Source organism: Homo sapiens, chromosome 11 (assembly GCF_000001405.40).
Source record: "Homo sapiens chromosome 11, GRCh38.p14 Primary Assembly".
Lineage (NCBI taxonomy): Eukaryota > Metazoa > Chordata > Mammalia > Primates > Hominidae > Homo > Homo sapiens.
Window position 1 is genome coordinate 75,594,776 of NC_000011.10, and position 20,926 is coordinate 75,615,701.

Here is a 20,926-nt window from a genome sequence, read left to right on the forward strand (position 1 = left end):
CACTGGGGACACAGAAGTGAATGAGAGCCAAGCCCTGACTTGGGGGAAGGAGCTCCTAGAGTGAGGCAGGAGACAGACCTGTAAACACACACCACAAACATGACGCCACCACCTGGGTACAGGCACCACCTCCAAGCTGGGCCCTAAGCCTTATCGGCCTGTGTCTCTTCAAACCAGAGAGGCTCAAAGATCTTATTAGGGGCCAAGCTGTCACTTTGTTGGAGAAGTCTTCCCTCTCTATTCCATAAAAGCAAAACTCCAGAAGCCAAATCAAAGGTGCCCAGGGCTGGAAGGATAGACTGCTGGGCCATGGGTCTCCTGAGCCTCTGCTGCAATCTCCCTGGCAGGTGGCTGCCCAGCCGCTGCTCGCACTGCCTGGGGTGGGCTGCACATGCCCGGTGAGGCAGCCTCCTCCTCAGTGGCCACTGGTTAGACCTGAGCAGAAGCTTGCATTGCAGTCAGCTCCACTCCTTCCTATCTCTGCACTGATCCCTGTTTTGCACTCCAGGGCCACCCTTTTAGTGAATGCCCTGCTGGCTGCCCCAGGACAGTCTTTCAGGTATTTGAAGGGGGCAGCAACTGGGTCTGTATCCCTGGCTTCTCCAAGTAACACAAGCCCCACAACAGTTCAGACTTGGTTCCCAGAGCCCTCACATTCCAACTGCCCTCCTTACAATGTGTCTCAGTTGGCTCTGTCCCTTGGACAGTGTAACTCCAGAACTAAAGGCCACATTGTAGGTTGGTCTCCACACAGGACACACCTCCTCTGCCCTGGAGTCTATACCTCCAATGATCAGCCCAAGCAGCTCTAGCTTTATCAGTGCTGGCTGCCCAAACACCACCCCTCGCCATCCACTTAGCAACCTCTACTCCGTAACTGAAGAATCTTCCTCAGTGAAAAAACCTCTGAGCCTCTACTTCCTTTTTCTGTGTTCCCACAGTGCCCCCACCCCCACCCCCACCTTGGCAGCAGCCCTATCAGATCAGCTTCAATAGTTTTGTATCTGCCTCTCTAGACTGGGCACTTTCAGGCCAGGGACCATGCCTGCTTCATCTCTCTTTCCCTCTCTCCCTCCCCTCCTCTCCTCTCTCTCTTCCCTGCCTCTTGCCTCCTTCCGTACTTCCACAAACATTTACTAAATGCCTACTATGTGCCAGGCCATAGGGATCACTAGCATAGGGCTGGCACATGGTAGGAGGCCTACTTTCTCAATGAGGAGTTTTAAAATAGCTCATACAAGATCAAATTCTAACAACCGCATTTACATGACATGAAAATGTTTTCCTATTTTTAACTTAGCACCTTTTTTGGCCCTCCAAATGATAACATCTCTTTAAGGTTTCTGAGATAACTTTACATACAAGGCATTTGATTCTCACAACAATGGTGTCAGCCAGGCAGACAGAAAGCCCTCTCCTCACCTTCCAGAAGCGAAAACGCGGTGCAGAAAGCTGAAGTAAGTTGCCCAAAGTCACACAGTGAGTTCGGGCAAAGTCAGGACCTTAATGGAGGAGCTCTTTCCTCTCTATAGTATCCCTCCTTGTGGAATATACAGATATAGAGATTCCAAATTTGTCTGTAGATGCCTGGACTGGGCTCGGCTTGAGATGACTCTGACTGGCTCTGGCTGGAGCCAATGACTTCTGCAGGTTCCAGCTCAGAGCTCCCAACTGCATCTCCTTAGAGAGTTGCCCCTCTGGGCCCAGGCCCCCAACAACCTGGCTGGCTACTCCCACTGCACAGCTCCCCCTACCCACCAGGTTTACTTCCTAGCATTCAGCCGACCCTGAAAAAGAAGACCTTAGCCCCAGAAAGCAGTGGCATCCTGCCTAAGAGTGCCCATCCACATTCACACCTGGAAGCCCTACCTGTGCAGCTGCCAATCAGTCTACCAGCCCAGGGCCACACTGAGTCCGCCAGATGTGGCTCATCACACAGAAACACCAGCTAGGACCACAGTTAGGAGAAATGCTGCCTCCACAAGACTTAATTCTGGGTCAGGGGTGGAGGGAGTGAACTGTGTAGATCAAACTCAGCTTCTCTGACCTTCTTGTGACTCATTTTCCATAGACGAGAGTATGGAGAGTCATTGAACGTTTCAGAGCAAGCGAGGGACAGAGGAGGAGGCTGCTGTTTCAGGCGATGCACATCTCTGCAACAGGAATCCTACAGATAGTCCCAAGTGCTGGACAAGGAATGGGTTTTAGGGTCACCCAAACCTGGGTTCACATCCTGGCTCACCACTTACAAGTTGTGTGACTTTGTTCCTTAATCACCGAGTTCTGATTTGTTTATCTGTAAATGGGAGTGACACCTGCAGACTCTAACCTTACTGTGAGGATTAAATGAGACGAAGTGTGTAAAGGCCAAGTAAAGGTTCATTCCCTCCCCCTAGGCTGTGGCAACTCTGCATTTTACAAAAGTCGAATCAAGATCTGGGGCCAGCCCCTAGTTCAGGTCTTTCCCTGCCACTCTGGGTTCCCTCCAGGCAGACATGTTCTTCTGAAATACAGGGAAATGGTTGCACTTAGGTGGGTAAGTGGCTAGGTGGTTATGTTTTCTTTGTGGTTATTTACCTATTTATTTTTGCCAATGTTAAATACTTTTTCTAGATTTGGCCTGCTAGGGAGAACTAAATAAATTTCCAATTGTATGAGAAATATTTTTAAAGGCATTCTCGATTGTTTTAGCACCAAGAAGGCAAAGTCAAAGGCACAGCAGATTGTCCCAGTGGGCTGCCAGGAATCTAATAATTCTGCTAATGACCCTTTTTAAAATGTAAAGTGTTGGACTAAGGCAGCGCTCAATTCTTGTCTAACACTATGCTCCTGGGAACTTGCAAATCATCATTGTCTTCCCCCAACCCCCATCTAAAGCAAAGGATCGGATCTTGAGCAATTAATCAAAATTGGTTTCCTGCATCCAGAGGGGATCACTCCAAATGAATGTGGAATTGCAGAGATGGATCTGCACCAGCTGATTTATAGGGTGTGCTTAGAGAGCAGGGGCCAGATGAAAGGCTGGGGGACGGGAAGAGGCAGCAAGAGCCAACACTAGATGGCGTTAATCTCAGGCCATTGTGTGGCAGGAGTGGATTCACCTTGTGTAGCTCCAGCTGCCATACTGTTAGGGACCAGGGGCAGTAATTAACTGGGAAGCTGTGGTCAGCAAAACTACCCATAACATGAGCTATTGGCGAGGGCATTGCACACTCCAGTTTGCAGAGGACTTTTGCATGCCTCCCCATGGGGCCCTCACCGCAGGCCTGGGAATCAGGTATCCCTTGCTTTCAGAGCTCTTGCCACCTGCTATCCTGAACTCTGAAAACAAACAGGTCGAAATAAATAAAATTATCCCTTGCTGGCCAAATTCTTGCTTCCTGAATTGGGAACCAAATATATTCGAAGAGTGATCGATATTTGTATTATTGTTATCTATTGGAGGCTTAAAGAAATTAAGAGACTCAGTTAAGGTCACACAGCTAGTAAATAGTAGAGCTTGGATTTAGAACCAGGCCTGTTGGTTATAATCCTTGCTTGGAATTAGACATGCCTGTGAAATGTGTGGTGGTGGGGAGGGTCCTGTCACCCTAGAGTTAGGAGCCCTGAACTGAGCAGGGAGTGAGATTGGCCAACCTCTTAGATTACCCTGTAACCAAGGGCCCATGATTTTATGCAATCAAGACTGTTTAGAAAAAGTGGCTATCTAAAGTACAGAGGTATGCAGGCCTGAACAGAGGCCAGCCAGTATAAAACCAGCCATTGACTGCTCTCTGGTCTGCAGTTGCTGTGACCTCTCACAAAACTGCCCCTTTCATGGGAGCAGAGACAGTTAATAGTCAGAGAAGAGCCTTGTGGAAGCACCATGGTGAATGTGGAGGCAGACAGTGAATCTCATCATTCATTCACTCACTCATTTTTCATTCAATGAGCACTTTAGAAGACACTGTCTATGGTAGGCTTTGGGCCAGAAGCTAGGGCTACAAAGGTGAACAGAGATCTGGCCCTTGCCCTGGGGGAGCACGGTCTGGTAAGGGGGATACACACATGAGCGGATGACACAGTACATGTGGCAAGTTCCATCATGAAGACACACAGGGAGCAGCTTACCCAGCTTGGGAGGTGCGGGAAAGGCTTCCTGGAGCTGTCCCCTGAGCAGAGTCTTGAAGGATGAGTTAGCCAGGTGGAGAAGCAGGAGAAGGGCATTCCAGGCAGGTGGACAGCAAGGGTAAAGGCATGGAGGTGAGAAGCAGCATGGTGCACCGAGGGAACAAGAAGCTTCTGCACCACGAGGAGCCCACGGATGGTTTAAAGCACGGGGTGACGTGGTCAGATTTGCATAAAGATCCCTCTAGCAGCTTAAACCAGTAGCAAGCAGTGGCAGTAACTTTTAAAGCTCAGCATCTGAAGCTCTCTTGGCCCCAGATAAGAGTTCTGGGGCCATCTGTCGAGATCACTATATACAATGCCAGGTTAACAAGTAATTGAGGCCCATTACATGAGGACAAGGGACAGAAATTTAAGCTCAATTCCACTGGCTGAAATAAAATGCTCAAAATGGCAGTCTCAGATCCAATACTTATATACTGCAGATAATAATGGATACCAGTTTTATCTTGGTACCTCCAGGACTGAGTATATTTTTTGTGAATGAAGAATCTGCTGGACAATTCTGCATTTAGTAACCTACATTGCAGTCACCCAGGCAAGCTAGTACCAGAAGGAGAAAAACTGTGTATTGGCTGTGATAATTGGTCAGTATAGCCAGGACGTCTGAGCCAGATGTATATAGATCTGACCCCATTCTTATTTTCCCTCAGTTTGTATCCGGGTCCCAAGATTTAAAGAGGGTACTAGGCAAGCTTGCTGGAGGACCTGGAATGGCCCAGCCAGAGTGTGGCACTGTGGGGTATGGGCTTAGTTTTTATTGGGGGGTCCCACTTGTCTGAAACCTGATTCTTTTCAGGCCAGCTGAGCCTCCTTCAGGTGAGAGGGATAGACAGCAGGCTATGGAGCTGGAAGCCTGGATTCCAGTGCTTTCTCCATCTTCTAAGCCTGACCAAGCTGGCAGGTGTCCCCTCCTCTTTGAGCTTCCCTTTCTCCTCTGTTACATGGGGCCAACACCTGCCCCATAACATTGGGAGGGTTCAGTGGAATGGCACAGAAAGAAACGCTTCATAAGCAACGCATACATATAAATTGTTAGAATATTACCATTTAGGTCTGTGGACTCAAGGTAATTCAATAGCTGTAATTCTTTAAAAGCAATCTTCTTAAGAATGTTTGCCTCAATCAACTTCGTGTATTACTAACAGCTAAGTATATATCTGTCAGAAAGTGGACAAGTACTTTCAAGTACTCTAAAGGGAGGGGAAGGGCGTGAAGTGACATGTTTAGTGTCCTCCAGGGGTTCCCTACAGCCCTCATGTCATTTCATCCTCATTCTGCTCCTCTGAGGGGGGGTATTAGTGTCCCCATTTTCAGAGGAGGACACTAATGCTCCAGGAGGTTAGTGAGAGACACAGCGTTGCACGGCAGCACTGGTTTCCACTCACGAACTTTGTAAATGCCTAAGTGCACTGTCCATGTTAACCAGTATTCATAGGGTAAATAACAAAATACATAATGGTGTTAATTCTAGTTCTCCCTGTTGTAGGAATTCTAGGATGGTCTAGGTGTTATGAGGATATATGCATCAAATGGCAGTGGGGTGGAAGTAGGGGTTGAAACACATGCCCGGTTCTGTGAGAGTGGAGTTTGGGCTCCCTTTGTTTGAAACAGCTGTCTTTCCTGTTCCAGTGGCCTTGGCTGCCCTAGCCGCTTTCCTAACCCTGCTGGTCTCAGGTGGTGCTAGGGGTGAAGCCTTGCTTTAACGCAGATGGTTCACAGGTTATATCCTGAAAGAAACTTCTGTACCTATGGTCCTGAAAATGTGAACTGCTTTGAGACATTTTAGCAGTAAAAGGAGCCTTAAACCACAGTGACACACTAAAGGAGTCCATAGCCTTTGTGAAATGGGACTTGACGCTCCTCAAATCTATGAGAAGTGAGAAGCAGGTTGTAAATTCTTAAACCCTAGTGAAACAAAAGAGGGAAGAATTTCATGAAGAACACAAAAACTCTAAGGAAGAATTGAAATACATTTATAGCTAACTTAGCAACAATGACCTATTTTGAAAATAGGGGGCTGGTTTGAATTTTGTTTGTTTGCTGTTTCAGGGAGGTAATGTGAGTGATGGGTTATAGATTTGCCTCCTGGGGCTCTGGGCAGCAGAGGGGAGCATGGTGGGAACCACAGGCGGAAGAGCCCCTGGGGGAGCCCTGAGCACGTGGGCAGCACTGACAAAGCTGGCAAGGCCCCTGCCTTCCTGCCTTCTCCATTGCCCAACGCTTGCCCTTTCTCTGACTCTGAGTGTGTCTCACCTTCTCGCACTCTCTTAGGTTACTCTAGGTGTCTTCATATGTGTGCTTTCCTGTGTCTTTTTCTCTCTGTGCCGCTATTTCTACCTCTCTACTTCTCGCCTGTCTTTCTTACCACCTCTCTCAATCCCCGTTTTGTCTCTCTCCCTTAACTCATCAAAAGAGAGCTTAATAATATGCTTTTATGTATTTGTTTTATTTCTTGAGCAGCTTTTGTGTTTTCTGCCTCATACAAAAGTAGACAGGTGGGTGGGATGTTTTCTATTCATCTGGAAAACAAATACATACGGCTTTTCATTTATACCACCCTTGAATGATTTCTACCCCTGCCTCCCCCAAAACTCAGCAATCAGGTCCAGCAATAAAAGTCCACCCTAGGGCTCCTAGCTTAGAGCAAGAGAGGATCTGTAGTGTTGCCTGACGCATAAGCAAGCAAGAGAAGCATGACAAGGGAGCATGCAGGGTGTAGGTACGCTTTGGGCATATGGAAATGGAGATCCCAGTTAGCAACCGCCCACTCACGTGCACCAGGCCTCTCCACCACCGAGCTCTGTCACTCTCCAGCCTGTGCCATGACCCTCCCAAGGGAGCTACCCCCCCAGAACTGAAGTTCACCTGGTGTTTGATGGCCCCCCTCCGACCTTTGCTTGGGCAGACCCCTCTATCTAGCATGCCTTGGCCACCCCCGGCTCTGTTCACCTGGTCAACACCTACCCATTGCTGAAGTCCTCCCTGATCCATGGAACCAGCTAGAATGGCCTCCTCCTTCGTGCCCCACTGTGATCAGAGGCGGGGTCTCAGTCATCCTGGTTTCCCTAGTGCCCAGCACAGTGCCTGGCACATAATAGGTATTCAATCAACATATGTTGGAAAAATGAAGAGTATAAAATCTTTTGTCTTCCACTTTACCAGAAGGATAACAAAGTGGGCAAACTTGGTCCTAGCTTTCAGGTTCCCACCCAGCCCCCCAGTTTTCCATTTCTAGACTTGCTCCCTGCAGTGGCCTTGCCCTTACATATCCACACCCCAGCTGCTTTCCAGGGCTCCCTCTGCCACAGAGCCTTCCGCAACTCCCCAGCCCTAGTTGGAAGAAGCCTGTCCTTCATCTGAGTTCCCAACTACCTGATCTGTTGTTGCTTGGTGGCCTGTCTGGTGGCTGTTTCAGCACCCCCACATAAGGCACACACACGACTGTCACCCCCACAACCCACAGTGAGCCAGCCCCCTATGGGTGGAACATCCACAGTGACCATAGATTAACTGAGCAAGTGAAGGCATCTCTGCCATCCCTTGGGAGGAGAAAAAGCCAGAAATGACAGTCCTGCCAGTCGACAGGAAGGAGGCAGAGAGTCAGAGCCCAGCCTCCCAGTGTGGCAAGGTGGTGCTCGGTGCAGGCGGTCGCTCTTCCCGGCAACATTGGATCAAAATGTTACACTACCTTTTTGGCCAGTGCGTCTCCCGGTCCATCTTCGCTTTCCCAAAACTTAGCTCTGACTGCTTGCCAATAGTATCTGAGAGGCAATCTAAAAGAGTCAAGCTGCATTATGGAGAGCCCCAGGAAGACTGCAGGGCACAGCTCATCTTGCAGAGAATGGCTCAAATGCAAAAGGTTCATTCCTTCACCTACTCAGGTGGGCCTCACCAAGGAAATAAGATCAAGAAAGTGGTGTTCGTCTTTAGCATTTATTTATAATTGGAAAAACTGTTTGTTTGTTTGTTTTTCTGAGCAAGCACAGACCACAAGCACGTCACAATCAATTGGCTATACATGAATATTTTTGTCATTCTCTTACAGCAGGAATGAAATAGCACCAAGAGAGGTGTGCGCTACATGTTACATAGACAATCTGTGGTATGCAACAAAACCCAGGCCACAAAATCGTAATTAGACACTTCCTGTCTGCCTCAGAGAGGCAAAGAAAGCTATGTGGACCGAATGGGAGCACAGACAGGACAGATTGCTGAGGGAAGCCAATGCGCAGCTCTTGGGGCTGCTTTTGCAGGCAGGGAAACAGCGGGAAAGCTTCAGTCCCAGCTCCCTCGCCAGGGAAGGACGGAGAACCACAGGGAAATGTACAGAGGCCAGTGGGACGAGCTTTGGAAGCTTGGTCACCTTCAGGAAGGCAACACCCAAACACTGCTTGTGGAACCAAAATCAGTTTCATTCAGTACGTTTGGGATATAGAATGAGACTGGCTGAGTTTTATTTGTAAACAGTAGAAATCAAAGGAAGTCTCTTGCCAGTAAAGTGACACATTCAAGAGTCAAAGTGAACTACAAACAGGGTTTTCTCAGTGGGTGTGTTAAGCAGAAGGGGATACTGACAGGTTGAAAAAGACATGCTACAGGTCCTCTAAAGCCTTGGGTGAGGGTAGGAAGTTGGTCCCTGGGGCAGTGAGTGGGGGCGGGGGGTGGGGAAGCCTGTGGGACCCTTATGTCAAACTGCGATTTGGGCAACACCAACTTGACTTGGTCATAGGGATCAAGTCATGTGCACCCTCTGGTTGTGTGGCTGTGGAGACAGATTTCTTTATACTGCCCACCACGCCTAGCACAGTGCCTGGCACACGGGCTTCTAGCAAGGGAATGCTAAATAAATGATCCCCTGTGCATTGTAAACTCTGATTTATTTGATCTGCAAAAATAAATGATTATTCTATGGAGAAATCCAAATTGTGGCTAGCATCAACATGTCTGACTAATGCCAAATCTTGAGAGACTGAACATACATTGGCAAATCCTCTGGATACAATTAAGATCATGTTGCTAGAGCTTTCTGCTAAATGTTAAGATTAGCTGGCAAAGAGTTGGAATCAGTGCCAGGATCCACTCTAGTCATTTCCTGATAGCTTTCAAAATCTGTGACTCATAAACACGGAGACCCACCAGCATTTTCTACCTTCCTTCATACTTCTCCTTCCTCACAGTTTTAAACCCTGAGATAGAAAGGAAGGTCGCAGTGGGCCTGATCAACAACTTCGTTTCTGATATTCCTGTTCTGTTAATAATTATGGCTCATGTAGCACACGCCGAATTAATTTACAAAAGACTTCTCACTCAGCCCCAAGGTGACAACCAAAATGATGTAAGCAGAGACTTTGCTGCCTGAATGGTCGGAGTAAGAGAGAGTTCGTGGAGGCTCCACTTCCTCCAAACCAGAAGGACCTAAAGGGACTTTGAGGTAAGGAACTGTGAGACCCTCACTCTTCACCCCTTTCATTGTAAAAGAAGAGCAAGCCTGCGCCGGGGCTTGACACCGGACGGCAGCCCAGTGTGTCAGAATGCCGGGGACAAGAGGATTTTAAGGACAGGAGATACAGAGTGTGCTGAGCAATATACACGTCATATTGGCAAATATTATTTTTCTGGTAACTATTTTGAGTTCCCTCACAAGCACTGGGGTTTTTTTTTTCACAACAACTCCCTGACTAATTCCTACAACACAACTCTAGCACAGCGAAGGTGGCACTTGCCACCCTTGGGGGCTTTGGCCACACACACACACGACACGGAATATACTGAGAGCTGCTTTTATATATTAATGAGGTCAAAGCTGCTTGCTAATTAGTTAGCAGGGCAGTCTCCTAGTCTGCAGCTAAGTCACAGACATTCTCCCTGACCTGAGGCCTGGCACCGCTGCCCTCTCTGAGGAGCAGACCAGAGCGGTTCAGGAAGGGAGAGTAAACATCGCCACACTTGCCACTACATCTACGCCCCCTTGGGTCTCAGAAATGGAAAGTCAAATTCCAAACACACTATCCCTACACCTTGAACTTTCTTCCTCAGACATCTCCAACCGGTCGCTCTGCGAAACCAGCAGCATTGGACAGGTGGTCGGCCGAGGAGAATCAGAGGAAAACAGCCTCCTCATTTCTGTGATCTTCCTATGACAGCTGGAATGTACCTAAAACACCTAACCTTCTTCACCAGCCCTGATCTAGTTTTAGTTATCAGTGGCGTATCTATGACTCGGTATACAATTTAAAGCCCACTGATAGGAAGCTAAACACAGGCACACATTTCTAATGGACGATTCTATGAAAAGACCACTTAACAGACACAACTCCCTTTTATTGACATTAAGGCCAAGGTTGTTTCTTTTTTTGTTATTTTTGTTTAATATTTCTTCAAATTTTGTCAATTGCTGAAGCCCAGGCTGAGCTTCTGTGGCACATGACGATTCTCTGAATTTTTGAAAAGAACACATGTACCTAAAGTTCAAAATCGACCAGTGACACAGATCTTGGGGATCTGGGAGGAGGAGACCCCACAGACACTTCCAAGCACTGCCGGGAGATTCGTTTCGCCTCTCAGACCTGCCTGCCTTGCTCATCAGCATGCAGTCAGAGTGCCAGGGGAGGGCACAGCCAGCGGCAACGCTTCCTGGTGCTCCAGGGGCTGCCCTCAGGAGGAGGCCTGCCACTCAGTCTGTGAAGCAGGATTCTTCCATCAAAAGAAGCCAAACCAAAGAGCTCCTGGAACACTCAGGACCAAGGCAGATGAGAAGCCTCTAATTAATTTTGTGGCCTTTTTTGGTTTGTTGGTTTAAAAAAAAAAAGTTGGGGGGAGGGAGAGAGAGAGAAGAGTAAAAGGAAAGTGCAGGGAAATTTACTCTTTCGCCTCAGCCAGTTTATTGTTCATCTCTTTGCTTTGCTCCTTGTCGTCTGGCTTGGTGGTACTCGGGCCCTCCGCGCTCTTTTTCTTGGCAGCCTGGCCTGACACCGCCTGCTTGTCTTTGGCCTTCCTCGTGGGCTTATGGCTCGCTGAGGTCTTTTTTGGTTTGGAACTCTGAACACTAGGTTTTTCCACCTGTACGGAGAGACAGACCGCAAATACAGAAACACAAAAAGGTGGGGCGTGGGAAGGAATTTAGAGAGAAAAGATATGGTTAATTAAGGAATGACGGTAATGACAGAGGTTGGCTCAGGTGGAGCACAGTGCATAAGGTGTTCCCAAGGACATTAGGGCATTCGGCATCTCCCGTCTGAACTCCCTGTTCCGTCACTTTGGCAGCACCCACTGGCCACGTGGTCTCCCTTGTCCTGCCAGCCTTCCACCGACCACCCCAGGCAGTGGGCCATACCACTGTTGGGCAATATTTGAGCCCCTCCCTGTAGGAAGTTAACACCTCATCACGTTGCTCAACTCACCCACAGGCATAGGATTTTGCTTTAGTCAATGAAATGTGAGCAGTGACTTGGGTCACCTTCAGGCGGAAAATTTGAGAGTCAGCCTGTGCTGCCCAGTGCTCTCTTTTCCTCTGCCACAGAGACAGGCTGCTCTGCCACCCAAGACCCAGATGGAGAGGCAACGAGGGTTAGAGTGGCAGCCAACCCACAATGGATATTAATGAGAAATAAACCTTTGTTGATGTAAGATGCAGATGTTCTGGGGCGGTGGGTCGCTGCAGCACCCGCTGGCTTCCCCTGTTCTGTCTCTAGGCTGGCTCACCCATATGGAGAAGCATCCTCGCTGAGATGCTTTGGGCAGGGGGGCATCTCCAGTCTCAGCTAGGCTTTCCACTGCCAGCACTCTGCTCCTCCTCTCTGCCTGGCTCCTCCACCATTTTCCCCAGAGCAGCAGTTCTAAGCTCACTCCACTCTCCCCAACCTCCCTCCTCTAGCTCTGTCCCCTTCATCTGGAGAAGATGGCCTTGCCTGCTCTTTCTCAGGAAACTTCGGAGTCACTGAAAGTGACCCCTCAATAGGCCACCCCCCTCATCTATCTCTAGATTTAGTTTCCCTCATTTTCCCTCCTTCCTTCTCTACGTCCTCTTTTGTCCAATGCTAACCCCATGCCCCGGGTGCCACACCATCTCTGGATGGACAGAGCTGATGCTGGGCCTTGCAGGCTGGATCATTCACTCACTGAGGTGCAGCGGCTTTCAGTCACTCCTGACCTGTAAGGAAAGGAACCAATCGTCCTGGTTTGCCTGGAACTGAGAGGTTTCCTGGAACACAGAACTTTCAGTGCTAAAATGGAAGAATCCCAGGCAAACTGGGTCGGTTAGTTACCTTACCCATAAACTGGTCCTGGGCCAAATAGGAAACTCCACTGAAGTGCAAGACTTTAGGACAAAAGCAGAGAAAAGGATAATTAGGTTCCAGAGTTATTTAAGTTCTCAGGCATTTTCTGCTATTATAGAGAGGACAGTGGATATTTGTACAATTCCATGGGGCCTGACATCAGAAGATGCTAGATTGCATGGCTTATATGATTCCTGCTTCACCAGCTATATCTCCAACATGCTTCTCCTGATCACGAACTCCTATGTAAGGTGGAGGAATGTTACCTTAGGAAAATCCTTGAGTCCACTTTCACAAACTGTTCATTTTGGTAACAAATGCTGGGAACATATATTATAGCTGATGTGACAGGTGTGTTGTGACAGACCGAGAAGTCATAGTGGATGGTGTTTAGCCCGAGAAGATGAGAGAGGGCAGGTGCTTTTCAGGGACTAGGGAGGGAAGAAAGGGTCCAGTGATTGGAGCCAAGGATGAGGCAAGGCAGGGTCTGGTGGGAGGGGAGCCGGGCATGGGGGCCTACAATACTGGGCCAGCCCTTCTGGGGCCCAAGCACATCTATTTTAAGACAAGGGGATTTAGGGCTCAGGTGAGGTTTTCTGCCATTGTTTATCTGGATTTCTCAAAATCAGAAGCTAATTCCCTGGAAATCTGCCAGCCTTTAAGCTGTCTTTATTTTAGGTGATGTTCCTCTTTAATATTCCCTTTGAGTTTAACAAAGGTTCCTATTGAAGATGGCCCTGGGTCTCAGTGTGCTTTAGAGGAAGCAGGGATTTTAAAGGTGCCCGTGGAGGCTGGGCCAGATTTGACAGCAGCCCACCCCATGCTCTGCTGCAGTTAACCCTTATGGTCCAGGCTGTGCTGATGGGTTCCCACAAGGTCTGTCTCACCTTTGGGGGTTCCTTGAAGGGTTCGCTGTAGAGGCTGCGTATTCTTCTGCGATCAATGACCTTATTGTCAGCTGTTGTTGGCTTGCTGGCCTCTCCTTTGAACTGAGCACTGTAGCTGGTCTCATGAACCATCTTATCATCTGGGGGCTTGTACTGGGGCTTGGCCTTTATTGGTTTCACAGGCTTGATGTCCGTCCATGCCCTGAATTCATTCCTGTTAGTCAAAGAAAGCATATGTGATATGAAGCATCATCTGCCTGGAAGCAGAGCTCCTGACACAGGGCTGCAAACACAGCAAGCTCTCCATCAGTGCTTGCAGCATTGACTGAAGTGTGGCTGGAGGGTTAGCCTCACTCTTTCATAAGGAAGAGTGCAAGTCTCCCTTCTTGCAAAGTTGACCCAGGTTGGGTTGTGGCAATAGCAGTTGTGCCTTGGAGAAAGAGATCAGGTTCCCAGCTCCACACTGTGTGACCATGGGCAGGCAATTCTAATCTTCAGGGCTCTTTTTCCCAATCTTGAAAATGAGACTGAAAAAACCCAACCCATTCAGTCATTCATGAAGTCAAAAAATATTGAGTGCCTGCTATGTGCAAAGTTGAAGAGTTGTGAAATTAAATGAGACAATGTATTAGGCACACTGTCTGATATATTGTGGCATATCAATGAATGCCAGTTCCCTTCCCCCCTTTTTCATAATGAAGAACTTTTGTTGCCCAGATTCCTTGAGGATAATTCCCCCATTTGAATAGCAGAGGGCTTGCTTCTTGGAGGGCCAGAACTTTAACAATCTTAATCACTTTAGATGAACATCCTCGTGAAATGTCTAAATATTTGCAGATCGTTAGTAAGCAACACAGACTGAACATAATTTGGAGATCACAACTACGACTTGTGTTGGGCTGTGTGTGTGTAGGAGCATCTTCGTGTGCTTTGGTGTAAATGGCTATTGGTCCTTATCCTAAATGATCCTCATCTGCTGCTTTTTTGAGTCAATGTGTCAGTTTTCTTGTTCTCTGCAATCCATCTCGTGGTTTCTAATCAGCTGTTTATGATCTGTTATAGGGCTGGAGAGTAGATGGCTGACAATGTTCAAAACAGAGTTAAAAAATGTAGCTGTTGACACAGGCCACGAGGGTCTATTCTGTTTGTTAAGTGCACGAGAGTCAATGCATGAACTCTGTGGCTTCTGGGGTCTTTATTGGGTCTGTTCTCCTTTGGGGGCACAAAAAGCTGCACTGTGGGAAAGGAGGAGTTAGGGCATGAATATCTGTGGAGTTAGGTTCTTCCAAGTCCCACTGTCTCCCTCACTGATGACTCCCTCCTTCGGGGCTCAGAGAGGAGTGCCAGGAACAAGGAGGCCGCAGGAGGCAGGAGAAAGAGCTTGGACTGCGACGGAGACACGCAGGCTCTCGTGCTAGCACTGCCTTATGCTGGCAGGCCTTTCCCTGCTCTGAGCATTCGTTTTCTCATTTGTAAAATGAAAGAATTAGGCCAAACAAGGTCCTTATAATGTCCTTCTAGCTCTGAGGCTGTCTTAGTTGATAAAGCTGATTTGGTAACACTGAGCCACTTGCCGGTTATTTGACCTCCTGTTCTCCGTATTTCTTTAGGGGAACTGGCTCATATGTGAAGAGAGACTACTGGCTTTTAAGAGACCCTTCCCTGAGCTTCAGACTCTCCTTTCCAGTGCAGCCTGGGTCCCCACCTAGATGCCCCATTGTTATGGTTCGAATGTTTGTCCCCTCTAAAACTCACGTTGAAACTTCATCCCCAGTGTGGCAGCATTGAAAGGTGGGGCCTGTAAAAGGTGACTGGGTAATGAGGGCTCTGCCCTCATGAATGATTTAACCAATTCCTGGATTAGTGTATTAATAGGCAATTGATTGATGAGTTGCCATGGGAGTGGGACTGGTGGCTTTTATAAGAAGAGGAAGAGAGACCTCAACTAGCATACTTGGCCCCCTCGCCATGTGACACCCTGTGCTGCCTCAGGACTCTGCAGGGTCCCCACCAACAAAAAGGCCCTCACCAGATACGTCTCCTTGGCCTTGGACTTCCCAGCCTCCAGAACTGTAAGGAATATATTTTATTTCTTATAAATTACCCAGTTTCAGATATTCTGTTATAGGCAACAGAAAATGGAAAAAGACACCTACCAACAACTCAGACTCAATGTCCCTAGAACCAAATCGTCTTGTTTTCCCTGCCAAAAATTATTTTCTCCTCCTGGACTCCCTCATCATTCATTTTCACCCATTCATTCAGTCATTCATTCATTCACGAAATATGTACTGAGTGCTTATGGTCTGCCTAACAGGATGCTGGGTGCTATGGAACCCAAGTGAGTAGGAAAAGGCCCTGTGGGGACCAACCTGCAGGCAGTGTGGGTGGCTGGGCTCACATTTAGTGGGGAAGGGCATAAGAGGCTAGACAGGCCATGGAGGCCATGCCAGCCATGTTAAGGGGACAGTCTCCACTGTAGCTAAGGGTTGCCAAATGATTTCAAGCCAAGGATGAGTGTGGCCAGGTTAGTTTTGGAAAGAGAATTTTGAGAGCAGTGTGAATGGTGGACAGAAGGGAATAGTGGAGGCAAGAGGCCAGGCAGGAGACTGCTGTTAGGAAGTAGGGGAAGCAGGGGGCGGAGAAGAGGGTGCTGGGTCAAGAGGGAGAATGGGCAGGACTTGGAAACTCATGAGGTGAGGTCAAGGGGGCATCTGGGGAGACTCCAGGACTCTGGCTGGGGGGCGGTAGTCCCCCACTGAGACGTGGAAATTGGGAAGAAAATAGGCTTTGGAAAGAGGTTGAAGCTCTCCTGATTCTGTTCACGGCATCCCACACACCCCAGCAACAAGGCTGTTCTTGGATCCCTTCCTCACCCCTCCTCCTCACTTCTCCACTTTCTTTAGGTTCAATCCTCCTTCCTGACCTGACTTCTGAACCATTTTGGCCCTACACACAGGCCTAGGGCTGGCCCAGGGAACATTTGGGGCTGTGGCCACCGTTACCTGCCAGAGGCTACAGTCCCTCCCTCCTTCCCTCTATCCTTCAGAGTCGAAGCCTTGCCTGTTAGATGGGCTCCTGGTATTTGGGCCTGGGCCTCCAGGACCCAATCAGTGACAACCTGGCTCCCAGACACATGATGGCAGAAACTTGGATTCTCTGTCGCACCCCTGCCCACTTTCAGAACTAGCACTGAGATAGGTGTACCCTATTCCTAAGTGCTGTTTCTGGGTCACCTCTTGCAGACCAACCTCTGCAGCCTCCTGCATCCCTGCAGTGGCCCCTGTGGGCTGGGGAGCGTCTCACCTGTGAGCACTAACAGTGGGACATGTCCCTGTGGGAAAGTTTGGTAACTCCTGATCTTGAACAACTCTGGTACATCATCTTCACATGAGACCTTGTTAATGAGCTGCAGGATAGGTTCACTGTAATTATGACAGATGGTTAGGTTTAAGCCCAAATTCCATTTCTTAGAAACTTCGTCAAGGTGTGAAAATGAGCCAAATAATAAAAAATGAAAAAATAAAAAATAAAAGAAAAAGAACTTTCTTTGAACTCTCCATAAAACCTTCTCTAATCACATACAACAACTAATATTACGTCATAGAAAGAAAATTAGCTACCATTCATTAGTTGCCTTTTATAAGCTGGAGGATTTTGTTTTATTTTGTATATTCTCTATAGTTCTTAAAACAACTTTGAGAACAGGTACTATTATGCCCCTTTTATAAAGGAGGTAACCAAGGCTCAGAGAGGTTAAGTGGCTTGCATAAGGCAATGCAACCAGCAAATAGCAGAGTTGGGGTCTGAGCTCAGGTCAGTCAGGCTCCACAGCCCACAGCCTTCCCACTACACTTCGGCAATGTGCCAGAGCTGCAGTGTGCTCGGCCTGCCCTCACTGGAGGTGCCTGTGCAGGGCCTGGCCTGCTGCCTGCAATGCTGTAGAGGACTTACATGACACAGACCGGGCTAGATGGCACCTAAGCTCCTCCAGCCCTGAGATGCTAGACTGAGAGCAGTATGGGCCACACTCTTGCCCTGTCATGCCCAGTGCCTCTTGACAGAAATTCATGGTCCCCTGTAACATGGTCTCCCCTTCCTGTGCAACTACATTTTTTCTTGATCATTCATTCATTCATTCATCCATTCACTCATCCATTCATTTGGCATCTGCCACACAATAGCCAAGGGCATGGAATGTACCCCACAGGGATGTGTAAGCCATGGATGAGGTGTCTAGAGTTCAGGTATTTAGACCTGACCATGTCTGATCCTAAGAAAAGACAAGATGAATCAAATGGGACAGGGATCAGAGGGCAAGAGGGAAAGGAATGCTTAACTCTGAAGGGGAGTGAGGACTGGGGAAAGGGTTATTGAAGGATGTCAACAGAAAAGCGGATGAAGGGAATTCAGGCACCAGTCTGAGTCTGTATGGCAGGTTCAGAGAGAGCAGGTGAACTGATCAGGGTGGCTGCTCAGGGTGCAGGCTGGGGTCTTGGAGGCTGTGCAAGGTGCCCAGGCTGGATAGGAGCTGGGGCCAGGTGACACAGAGCCTGCATGCCATGTTTGGAAGCATGTGCTGTGCCTGGGAAGATGCTGAAAGTTTCTGAGCGAAGCAGCACTGTTTCTCCATTGATGGTGCTCTCCTCCTATCAGTCTGCCCCAATACTAGCTATTCTTTAAGGCCCAGCTCAGGGTTCTCCTCTTCCAGGAACCTCTCCTGGGTTACTCAACCCAAAATTTCCCATCTCTCAGCTCCTGGCCCATTTACTTTACTGGCCATCTTTGTGGTTAGCAGGCAGTTTCATGCCATTCTTCAATTCTTTCATGAGTCCATTCTGTCTCTCTTAAAGGATAAGATAAGACAAAATTTATGACAGAATCCTACTCTTGAGTCCAGTCTCATTTGCATGGCTGCAAAGGGGCATCCTATGTCAGGCTGCAGGTTAGGGTCAAGCTAGGCTAGGACTCCAATCCCTGCCTGTCTCCCACACCCTGTGCTGCCACCCAGGGCCACACTCCATATCTTCTTTACATTCTTCACAGGATTTAAAGGCTTGACATTCAGTGGGCAGTTAACGGAAGTAGCTATTGTTAGATTTATTTCTGGTCAGCTGATGTCACCTCCTCCTGAGCCCTTCCTTCCCTGCCCTACATGGGGCACACACTTGCTTCTCGGTGGCATAGGAATGCCTGACTCCAAAGCTCACACCTGGGGATGGATGTGTAACCCAAGCTTGTCTTCGTTTCCTTCAAGCTCATGGTCACTTTGGCTCCTGGAAGTAATCACAAGAAAGCCCTTCCCTTCAGTCAGCCTGGGTGTACACCACAGTGAGGCCCGGGGCACATTGGGAGGGTCCCATATCCGTGAGTTTCTACTCCTGACATCCCAGAGATGCTCCTCATGCCACAGCTTCTCTTGTATTGTGATGTGTAGAAATCACAGGGACAGGGTGCTCTCTAACTGCATCACCAAAGGCCCGCTGTCCCCTCCACAACAGAGCCTCTGGTGGACCCTGTTATTTGAGCCTTGATGCATGACCTATCTCATACACAATCCTGCAGGGGCAGAAAGAGAGTCTGGGGCTATGATATCCCCCGGTGGGTGGGTGAACTGCAGATGAATGGGCTCAATCAATATATTCAGATCTGGGTTTAAATGACTCTTTGATGGCTTACTTGTGCTAGGAAAATTTATGGAGAGAAGGCTGGGCCAGCCTTCAACCCCCTACTAAGGGATGGCAGAGCCAGGCCCAGTTTGAGCCATCTCATGGAGACTTAGTGGGCAAGACTTTTCTGGGCTGCTCCTCCAGAACCTTTGAACAGCCATATAGTCACATTCACAGCAGCTGCCAAAGCAGGACTTTGGGATCTTGCTGATCAGGCAAAGTTTTCAGAGGAGTCAACAAACACTCTACCTTCAACTCCTCCTTTCTGGTCTCTCTGTTCCTTCTCTGACCTGTACCTCTCTGTAGCATGCACTGTGCTATATTTTACCTCAAGCTACCTGTGTAGATGACTTTCTTCCCTTCCAGACTGTGCCATCCCTGAGAGTAAAGGCTGTCCTTTTGCATCCATGTAAGTCTCATCATGTCTACGACAGGGATGTGGAATGCAGCTCCCACCTCCCTGCGGCTGCTCCAGCCAGGGACGGGGTGTAAAGTTGCTATGCAACATCTCATGGCATCCATATAACTTCCTACAATATGCCCACAAGTTCTTTGATACTTCTACCTTACGTAGAGCTTAATTCCTTCCTCTTCAGTGTGGTTGGACTTGAGGACTCACTTCTAACAAACAGAAGATGGTGGGAGTGGTGGTGCATGACTTCTGAGAGTGGCTTATTAAAGGCTTTGTAGCCTCCTCCTTGTACTCTCTCTGGGATTACTCTCTCTGGGGCAGCAAGCTGCCATGTCATAAGGACATTCAAGTAGCCCTTGTGGAGAGGCCCATGTCGGGAGGAACTGAGGCTTCCTCCCAAAAGCCATGGGGGTGAAAAGGCCTAGAAGACCCAAACCACCCTTCACATGATTTCCTGAGAGACCCTGAGCTCGAACCATCCAGCTAAGCCATTCCTGGATTACTGACCCTCAGAAACTTTATGAGATCAAAAATATTTATTGCCATTTACATGGCTAAGTTTTGGAGTAATTTGTTACAAGCAACAAATTCTAATACAAACCCCAATCAGAAAATTTTCTCTTCTCATCAAAAAGGGTTTAAAATACTTGTGTCATCTCAGCAAGACAGAAAATACTGGTGTAAGCAGAGCACAGAAGTTCAAGTTTCCAGCAGAGCTGCAGCATGACCTTAATGGAGAGAAGTCATACTCTGTTGTAAGAAACAGGGTGAATGGTCTGCAGCCTTCTTTAGAAGGTAGCAAAACCTCCAGTGCAGCAAAGCTGATAAAGATGCACCTGCCTTGGATCCAGGTCATAAGCAGAAAAAAGAAACACAGGCCATCACAGAAGAAAATGATGTCTCAGAGCACACAGCACATGCAAGCCTTTCGGAAGTGCAGACAGAGGTTAACAGGGTGAGAGAAAACATGGAACCTGGGCCAGATGATGATGATGAGTTACTAGAAAGAGAACTGGCTCTGGAGTGAGATACATCCATCCTAGCTCTAACCCATGGGCCAGGTCTTGCCTGCTCTGAACACTGGTGAACTCATTTGTAAAGGATTTACATACGGCCTACTCATAGAATTGATGTGGGGGTTAAATAAGAAAGAATGTAAAGCAGTTTCTTTAGTTGAAGAGGACCTGGACATTCATATCAGAAGAATTACAAAGCCCATGGTAGACACGTGCATAATAAATGTATTTGACTTTCATTACAGAGTCGTTTATTCAAGAAAAATTATTGCATTTCTTCTGTGCTCCAGACACGGAGCTAGAAATGCAGTATGTACAGAGAGATGAAGATCTTCCCTCCACAGACCTTGTTGTCAGGTGGGGAGAGATCAACAATTACACAGATAATCAAATATCTGTGATAGCTATTGTTATACTTCTGAATGCTGAAGTCAACATTCTGGTGCCCAGAGTGGGCAAAATTTGGGCAGCAGCTTCCAGCGCCAGGCTTCTTTCT

At 48.1% G+C, this 20,926-nt stretch overlaps 1 protein-coding gene across 7 annotated transcripts in view; it reads right to left on the minus strand.

The window, feature by feature from the left end:
* The window catches only part of MAP6 (microtubule associated protein 6), an 82,121-nt gene that overhangs the window by 7,858 nt on the left and 53,337 nt on the right, over positions 1-20,926 (minus strand). For 2 of the 7 annotated variants that reach the window (XM_017017755.3, XM_017017756.2), the window contains exons 2-4: positions 13,334-13,547; positions 12,440-12,487; positions 11,033-11,229 (exon numbers count right to left, since the gene is read on the minus strand). In XM_017017755.3, the coding sequence (XP_016873244.1) occupies positions 11,033-11,229; positions 12,440-12,487; positions 13,334-13,547 (459 nt within the window). The other 5 variants (XM_017017758.2, XM_006718556.5, XM_011545039.4 and 2 more) reach the window with 5 other exon arrangements.